The sequence below is a fragment of the Homo sapiens genome, chromosome 3, assembly GCF_000001405.40.
Source record: "Homo sapiens chromosome 3, GRCh38.p14 Primary Assembly".
Classification (NCBI taxonomy): Eukaryota; Metazoa; Chordata; class Mammalia; order Primates; family Hominidae; genus Homo; species Homo sapiens.
Window position 1 is genome coordinate 46,659,309 of NC_000003.12, and position 8,890 is coordinate 46,668,198.

At 55.5% G+C, this 8,890-nt stretch overlaps 2 annotated features.

Annotated features, from left to right (window-relative positions):
- Positions 1,487-2,082: an enhancer, noted in NCBI's record as "H3K4me1 hESC enhancer chr3:46702285-46702880 (GRCh37/hg19 assembly coordinates)". NCBI's record gives its function as "activates a minimal SCP1, AML or CMV promoter by ChIP-STARR-seq in naive H9 embryonic stem cells {active_cell/tissue: H9 hESC(naive)}" and the evidence as "EXISTENCE:reporter gene assay evidence [ECO:0000049][PMID:30033119]".
- Positions 3,063-3,708: an enhancer, noted in NCBI's record as "H3K4me1 hESC enhancer chr3:46703861-46704506 (GRCh37/hg19 assembly coordinates)". NCBI's record gives its function as "activates a minimal SCP1, AML or CMV promoter by ChIP-STARR-seq in primed H9 embryonic stem cells {active_cell/tissue: H9 hESC(primed)}" and the evidence as "EXISTENCE:reporter gene assay evidence [ECO:0000049][PMID:30033119]".

An 8,890-nucleotide genomic window follows, 5' to 3' on the forward strand; every position in this document is an offset into this window, starting at 1 on the left:
CTAGTGCTGCACTAAAAAGCCATCCCAAAACAATGGCTTGAAACAATAGCCGAGGTTTATTTTGCTCAGGAATCTGGGGCTGACTGGGCTGCTAGGCAGCTGTTGCCTGGGGGCATCTCTAAGGTTCCAGTCCATGGAGGCTGCAGTCACACGCGAGTGTCCTCACTCACGCGCCCAGTGTCTGGGCTGGTAAGACTCCAGGCACTGGATGCTGGATAGGCTGGGCCTATTGGGTCTCTCTCTCTGAGGCGTCCCCACACAGCAGCTCAGGGCTGCCAGACTCCCAGCATGATGGTTAAAGGCTCCCAGAACAAGGATCCCAGGAGAACTGGCAGGACCTATGTGGCTTTCTATAAGCAGCCTCAGAAGGCACTCGGCTCTCTCCTGCTGTAATCATTAAGGGCTGTGGTTTAAGGTGAGGTTCGTGGCCTCTGTGTCTTGATGGGGAGAGTGTGGAAGAATTGGTGGATATGTTTGAAAGCCACCACCAGGGCAGAAAAAAAAATACTGAGAGGCTGAACATTAGGGGATATGGGGAAATGCCCCTGCAGGTTTTGAAAGTCTTTCTCACTTGGGGTTTGCCTGACCTCCCTGCAACTCATTTCCCAGCTCTCTGCATTCTGGAAAGTCATGCCCTTCTACCTCTGGGCCTTTGACTCTGCCTTCCCCCCTGCCAGGCAAGCCATTCCTCCCTCTGGCAAATTCATTCTTCAAGATCCAGTTTCATGGTGCTGTCTGCTAAGACAGGGCCCCCACCTCTGCCCTCTTCCTGCTGTGACCACACAGACTAGGCATGTTTTGCAGACTCTTTCTCCAGAAGGACCGGGCACACAGGAAACCAATGACCACTCACTTCCCCAAGGTCATCTTTCCTCAGAGGCACTGGCAAGACTCACTGTGTAAGCACAGGTTGATTTCAGCTCACCTGCTGTCATCCGTGCTTGTCCCTGGGGATGCCTTGGCCAAACCTGAAAGAAATGCAGGAACCAGTGATGAATAGTCCTGTGCTAGTGCCTGAGACAGGCCGGGGGCCTCCTGCAGCCACTTGTCCGCACTGCTCATGTACAGATGCGTGGGTGCACCTGCTTGCTCGTATGTCCGCCTGGTTTGGCTGCATGACAGCAAGGTATAAAAGATCCTTTCTGGTTTGAAACAGTGGTTCCCTGAGGTCAAGGTATCTCCCATGTGCCTGCTGGCCCCTTTCTCTCTCCTCCAGTGCTCTCTGCCGCCCCTTAAAAGGGTCCACCACATTTCCCACGAGGATCAAAGCAATTGTGTGGGAGAGAAGAGCTTGCCTCTGAAGGCAGGCCTTGGAGATGGCCTCTTATTGATGGTCCTCACCCCTTCCTCATGGTCCTGTGCTAACCAGGCCACACAGACCGAGTCCTCACTGCACCAGGCACCGCTGCCCCAGCTCCAGGCTGCCACCCTCTGGGCTCCAGCAGCTGGGGGTGCAGAGAGCACCTGGCTCCTCAGGACACAGAGGAAGCACCTCAATGCTCCCCTGGGCAGCTCAGCCATGCAGGTCCTTTCAAGCTATCAGAGCAGGGAAAGATGTCACTGTCCCCAGAGGAGACAGTGGGCAGGGTGCATCTGTCCCAGCCATCAGCAACCTCCACCCAAAGGCACCCCATGCACTCCAGTTAGCTCTGTCTTCACATGCCCTGGCATGAGCTGCAGCACTGCTCTGAGCTCCGGGAGCCAAGGAAGACAGCCAAATCCCCTGGGGCACTAGGTCACATGGCCCTGCAGCTCGGTCCCCGTTGCCCAAGCTCTGACTTCCCACTCCTGTTCCCTGCCCTCCAGGAAAAGCCACATGTTATACTCACCCTCACCTGCACCTCCCTTCACCCCTGGGTCTGGAATTGCTGGTGGGTTCAGGGATGAAGGATTTCCCACTGAGCAGACCTTGGGTGTGGACTTGAAGCTTCAAACCCTCCTTGCTCACTTCTCGGCTTAGTGCTGGGGCAAACAACCTGAAAACCGATCTGAGTCTCCAGGAGTGCTGCCCTCCCCCACTCCACCCCCAACACAGAGGGGCCCAGTGGGTCTTATTTCCATTGGAAATTTCACTGCTGGGTGGTTTAGAGTCCTTGTCATTCTCTTCCCTGTCCTAGCTCATGGATGTGTGTTACTGTTTCAGTTCGGAGCAGGGTCCTTAAAGGGGCAGGGTCATGGCTCCCCAGCCTCAGGGGTGTCATCAATAATGTTCTGGGCCAGGTGTGGTAGCTCATGCCTGTAATCCCAGCACTTTGGGAGGCTGAGGTGGGTGGATCACTTGAGGTCAGGAGTTCAGGACAAGCCTGGTCAACATGGTGAAACACTGTCTTTACTAAAAATACAAAAATTATCCAGGTGGTGCATGCCTGTAATCCCAGCTACTTGGGAGGCTGAGACAGGAGAATCACTTGAACCTGGGAGGCAGAGGTTGCAGTGAGTAGAGATCATGCCATTGCACTTCAGCCTGGGCAGCAGAGTGAGACTCTGTGGCAAAAGAAAAAAAAACAGTGTTCTGAATTATTCAAGCCCTGTCCTGGAGTCAAACTGAACTCTTCCCTCTAACTCCCCAACTAGCGCCACACTGAGGAGCAACAGCTGCCTTGAATCCCCCGCTGTTCCATTCACTAAACTAGATTAGATGGGGAGGGGGAGGGCATAGAAGGTGCTGGGGAGCTGCAGCCTCATTGTTGTGATTCATTCACTTAATGGATCTTGTGCAGAGCACAGTTCAAGGCCCTGGGGATGAAGTAGTGACCAAGACAGAGGAGGCCTCTCCCTGCCCTCCCCAGGCACCCAGTCCAGCAAGGAGTGGGGGATTTAGCCAGGAGAGGGTGTCAGTGAGGACAAAACGTGCTCAATGACAGGATACAGGGAGAGGGCAGAGGCGGCAAACCGCGGGTCAGGGAAGCCTCTCGTGGGAAGCACTGTTTAGCCTGGAACCTGAAGGACAAGAATGAGACTGCTCCAGGGAGAGTGAGGGCCAGGAGGAGGACACCAGTGCAGGGCCATGAGGTGGGAGAGGCTCAGGGGGCTCCAGGAGCATCAAGACAGGTGGCAAGAGTGACGAGAGCACAGAGAGGAAAGGGGGTAGGAGTCATGAGGGGCTGGCAGAGGGATTCCAGGGCGACCCCAGGGACCGGGCCTGTGAGTCAAGAGAAAGAGGCTGGATTGATTCTAGGCACTGGGAAGCCATGGAGGGATGTCAGCAGGGTTGATTTCACGAAGCTGCCTCTGGCTGCAGTGTTGGCACCTGGCTGGGATGGGGGCGGGAGAGGCAGCAGGAAGACCAGGGAGGAGGCTGGGGCAGGAGGTGTCCAGCTGGGAGGGGACCAGGGCCTGGAGAAGGGTGTGCATGGGCACGGAGAGAAGCAGATGTGCCCAAGACCCATGTTGCCTTCGGGCTGACAGAGGTGCTGATGGAACAGAGGTGTGGACGAGGAGGGAGGAATCCCAGATCAGAGTGCTCAGCACTGAGGGGTGCACTCTCAATCAGGGCCTGACCAGGGATGAAGGGAAGCTCTGAAGATGGGTGAGGGAGGGTGTCAGATCTCCATTAGGAAACGGAGTGGAGAATGGTCTGTGACTCTGCACGACTCCCTGGGAATCTTGCGCGTATCCACGCAGGCCACATAAGCAAGGCTCAGCTGCGGTCCAACCTGTGTCTCGGCTGAATGCCCTACAATTCCTCCTGCAGCCAGGGGAGCTAAGACTTGGGAGAAGCCACTGAGAGGTCTTTCTCAGCTGCAGGCTACAAAATTGTTTGGCTGTAATATGGAGGCAGCTCCTAAATGGCTGAGTGACCCTCTGCTCACACTGTCATCCGATCCCTCCGGGTCAGAGTCAGACTGTGGGATGAGGGACAAGGGAGCTGACCTCCTGCCCATTTTGCTTCTGCTGTTCTTGTAAATAATAAACTGTCTAAATCCACGTGGGCTCATTGTCTCATCCCTGGCTGGATGCATGGAAGTGCGCCAAATCCACCAGCAGCTGCAGTCATGTAGCCACCCACGCTGTCGCTTGGAAATTGCTTCACAGTTTGATAAATTGGTCCCAAACGTGGGGCCAGTAAGGGTACAATGCCTTTCTGGAGAGAAGACAGAAGAGGCCCACGTGGCCGACCAAATGAAGAGATGTGGAAGACCCCAGGATCGCCCAGGCATGCTGTCACCCAGGGAGGGTGAGAGGAGGGGAACAGGGTACCCCTCTGTCCTACCTCCTGAGGAATGTTTGCAGGCTGAGTAGCAAGAGGAAGAATTGAAACCAGCCAACCAAATGCTGCCCCTCCTGATGTCCAGAGAGTTCTTGGGCTCAGGGAGATGTAAAAATGAAAACAAAAACAAAACCAGACAGGATGAAATAGAGGAGGAGGCTGGGTCGGGGGCCTGGAAGGAGAGAGCAGCTCTGCACATCAGCCGATGCTGTGACTCCTGACTGCAAGGTCTGCTCCCACAGGGGAAGGGCCACAGTTAGGACAGTGGCCGGTGGGACAAGCACACACCTGGGAGCCCACCAGGCTTCACCTGCCCAGCCACTTGATGGCAGTAAAGCAGCATAGAATAGAAGAGGGCAGGGGCCACAGCACTAAAGAGCTGTAGAGGAAGAGGTGCGTAAGGAAACCATCCAGCAGCTGTGCGGACTGCCCTCCCCAGCCAATTAGTCCTGAAGAGCCTTGAAAATTATGAGTGTGCGTGGCGGACAATTACTCAGCCTGGAGCCAGTTGCAGCAGGATGCTGGCAGTCAACAAAGGTGACCCCTGGTGTTCTGAGTACAGCAGTGACTTGACAGACAGGGCCCAGCACACCCCCTCGAGTGGTAATTACTGACTTGCAGCTGGGTGTAGGTAGACACTGAGGGTAGAGCTCCCCATGCATGGTTCCTCCCAGGCAGACCCTTATAGGGTGGGTCTGGAGGAAAGACACCAACACAGTGGACACTGCCCAGCAAATGTCTGTCATCAAATGACAGGGGGACAGCCAAGAAAGGAGGAAGCCAGGCATCAATGGAATCTCCCATCAGCCTGAAAAAGTGGCAATCACCCGCCAGGGGCAGCTACCCCAGACCTGGGGTCTGCACCAGCACCTCAGGCTCCTTGTGAACTTCACCACAGCGCAGTCCCTGAGGAGGCCTGGGCCTGATTCACAGACAGATCAGCCAAGCTACAGGACCCACAGAAAACACTGATGAAAGCTGCATATGAAGAAAGAAGTCTGGCCAGGGGCAGTGGTGCAGGCTATGGTTCTTGCCCTGGAAACAGCCCCCACCAAAGTTCACAGCCAGTGGGCTGACCATGTGGTCTGGCACTTGACAATGGAACAACTGGATGTCAAGTCCCAACCCTGGTTGGGACAAACATTAGGCTTCAGATTGCACAGGGCCCAGGGCCTCTGAAAACCCAGTGAAAAGGACCCCTTGGCAGTGAACGTCAGTGAAACCAATAAGCTGACCAATTCTGCATAGCCCAGGTAAGCATCAGAGCCACCTGGATACACCATCACACGAGGCCTGGCCATCTGTCCATAGCTCAGGACTGGGGCCCACGTCAAAGCCTAGTGAGGCCAGCACATGAGGCCAAGCAAGCCTGCAAGTGTACCAGCTCCACAGTCAAGGGACAAAGTGACTCCAGTGCACACAGCGACCTGTGCACTCCAGTACACTGACCTGGCCAGTCCTGGAAAACAGACTCCACGGACCCCTTCCCCTTCTGCCAGGAGCACCACTGGGTGCTGACGACCGTAGATGCAGCAATTCCCATCTGCGGGGAACGTGGGCCGTGCTGCTTGACAAGTCCTAAATGTACTGCTGCATATCTGAACTCCTGGAGCACATCCAGTCGGACAATGATGCCGCCCTCATAGCCAAGAGAACCAGCAATAGGCAGCTATCTGAGGGCTGCTGTGTGGGACATTTCATGTCGCCTACCACCCACAGACAGCAGGTGACTTAAAAGATGAACTAAAAAAAAAAAAACTGAAAAGATAAGTGGACTCTAATTGTGGCAATTCTCCAGGAAGGTACCATTCATTTAAATAAAATATTTAGTTATGAGGTAGGGAGGGGGAATAAGAAAAGACCCACACTGGCTGTGAGAGACCCTGCTGCATAATTCATCCTCCTCACTCTTCTCTGCCCACCTCCATCCCTGCATGGAGGAACCCGGGCTACTGACCCGTGGGCTGCAAGGTGGGGGTTGGTGTGGGAGATGCTAATCCGGTCACTCTTACCTCCTGGCTCTGCGTGCGAGCGCTGGGCAGTTGTGGATATTGATGATAATGATCATGATCATTATCTCAGGCGTGATCACTCCTAAGAGTGCCGCTGGCGCAGCCCGCACGTCTGGGGTGATACATAGTAATCACCTCCAGAAGAACACTGTGGGTTAGGAATAGTGAGGATTTCGAAAAGCGGAGCAGCTCTGCTGGAGGAGAAGGAACACCCTAGGCTCCCGGAGGCATAGAGAGGCCAGACCATTAGCGTCTTTTGGCTCTCGCCTGCAGGACACCTGGCCCACCTGTCGTCTCAGAATGCTGTGGTCACCTTGTCCCAGACCATTACCACTGCCCTCAGTCTAACTCCTGGACACCCATTCTCTCAAGAGAGCCTCAACTGAGGACTGTTGACTTTGGAGGCAAGACAGCCCCCGCCAAAGCAATGAAACATGATTAATTTTCCAGACACTGATGAGGCCTCCCTTGGCCTCATCTTATTATCGCTGGTACCCTACTGCCAAAACAAACGAACAAACAAACCAAACACTCTCTTGTGTGCTTTTCACAGATCATAGCTACTGCTCTGAATTTAATGAGCCACTGGACCTATCATCCTCCACCTGACCCTGATGACTAGACCGCACTCCCTCATTTCCACCTCCTCCCAAATACTTTTGGACATGAGGGGCCAGGCCTCAGCCAGGGGGCATATGAGAAGATCACTTTGGGAGAAACTTGCCTGTCTTGAAGGCAAGGAACAGGGACAGGTGGCCAAACACCTGGGCTCCAGCTCTGCACCTGGTAGTGCTGGAGTCGTGCAGTCACCCAGCTGGCACCTGGGCTCTGGTATGAGGCCGTGTGGGTCCAGTCCATCATAGCTACTCAGCCCCCTGTTTATTGGGGACAGAGTGTGTGTTTCTGCTTGCTCCTGAGGGCCTAGGTTTCCTGGGTTGTGACTCCTGGGGCTTTGGTCATGAGGAAGTTGAGATAAAGCCCATAAAGTGCTTAGCCCGCACGTGGGTCCTCTTCAGTGCATCCAGAGCCCAAGCGGCATCTCTTGCCTGCCCTTCACAGCAAAGGGTGCTCCTCATGGCAGAACAGGGTGTCTGGGCAGCTCCTTTGCTTACAGACAACAAACAGGACCCAGTTAGGAAAAGGACTTGGCCAAGGTCCCAGAGAGACCAAGACCTGGCAGCCTGGACCCCATCCCAGGTTCTCGCCCGCAGCAAGAGTAAACACCAGAGTACGTGTCTGTACAACCCTTGACAAAGCCAACCAGAAAAGCCCTGACCCGATCTGAGCTTGACCTTGACCCTCATTCTCACTCCAGTCCCTAAATCTAACTTGACACTGACCCTGACTTCAACCCTAATCCCTAATTGTATCCCTCACACTGACTTTAACCCAGACCCTCGCCTTATCCTTTCCCAGGTGCCCATAAGAGGGCAGCCCCTGTCCCCTGCTGGGCCCCAGTGGTCAGCCGTCCCTCTGGGAGAGTGACAGCTGAGGTCCTGGGGCCCTCCTTAGGGCCCTACTAGTGAGCATCTGCTTCACTCACACAGTGACACTAAGCACCTCTCCAGCAGCCCCTGGTCACCCCTCTGGCCTCAGCATCCCTCCAGCCTTCTCTGGAGCTGCAGTAGGCAAGGGGCATGCACAGTGGGCACCCTGCTCACGCACTGGCTCCAGCATCCTCGGGGGTGGTGTGAATGAACAGAGGCTTGGTCAGCACTCGGGTCCCTCAGATGCCTGCCAGCTCCCACTGTGGGGCAGCTGTTCCAGACCATACTCCAGACAGGGAACAGGGCTGCCATCCAGGAGGCCCCTGGGGAGGCTCGCTGACAAAGAAGTCAGCAGTCCCTTCAGAGGACTTCATGGGGCCATGCTGTGCCCTGGTCCCTTTCAGAACGCCCTCTCCATCCACCACTACCTCTGGGTCACTGGCTATAGCCTGGCCACGCCACTCTGTGGCTTTCCTGCAGCTGGAGCTCCAACCAAGCAGTAGGGCAGTGCCTGGAGGTGTCCTGCCACACTGGCATCATAGCTGCCTGGTGTGGGCACACGGCCCCAGGAGGGCCAGGCCTGAGCCTCTGGTGCCGTGTGTGACTATGGAGCAAGGCACAGAGGGTGTCCATCTTTTCTTCCCCTTCTCCTGAGGCATCAGCATCAACTTGCTGTCTACTCCTGGCCTGTGTTTGCCCGGGGCTCCATTTCCCTGGGGCCCGTCCATCCTGGACACACCAGAGGGGTTGTTTGCACGGATGCTTCTCCAGCCAGTCTGAGATGCTGACCTACTCTGGGGGTCAGGCCCTTCAGAGTCCAACCCCTCCCGTGTCAACCTGTATTCTGTCCTCGTCCCCAACTGCTGTGGAGCACAGGCCCCTGGCGAGGCGGCCTGCACTGTGCCCGGGGGAAGGATGGGAAGAAGACACCACAGAGGACTGTTGACTTTGGAGGCAAGAGAGCCCCCGCCAAAGCAATGAAACATGGGCCCAGGTCTGGAAAGGGGCTGTGAAGAGAGAAGCCTTCTTCCTAGGGGAACAGGGGCTTCATATGACCTAGGCCTGCAAGGATGGATCTGCCTAGGACCTAGTGGGACTGGAGGAGGGCATTTCTGCAAGAAAAGAGATGAGTGAGAGGGGCAGGAGCAGGAGGGCAGGGCAGAACAGGGTGGCAGATGGAG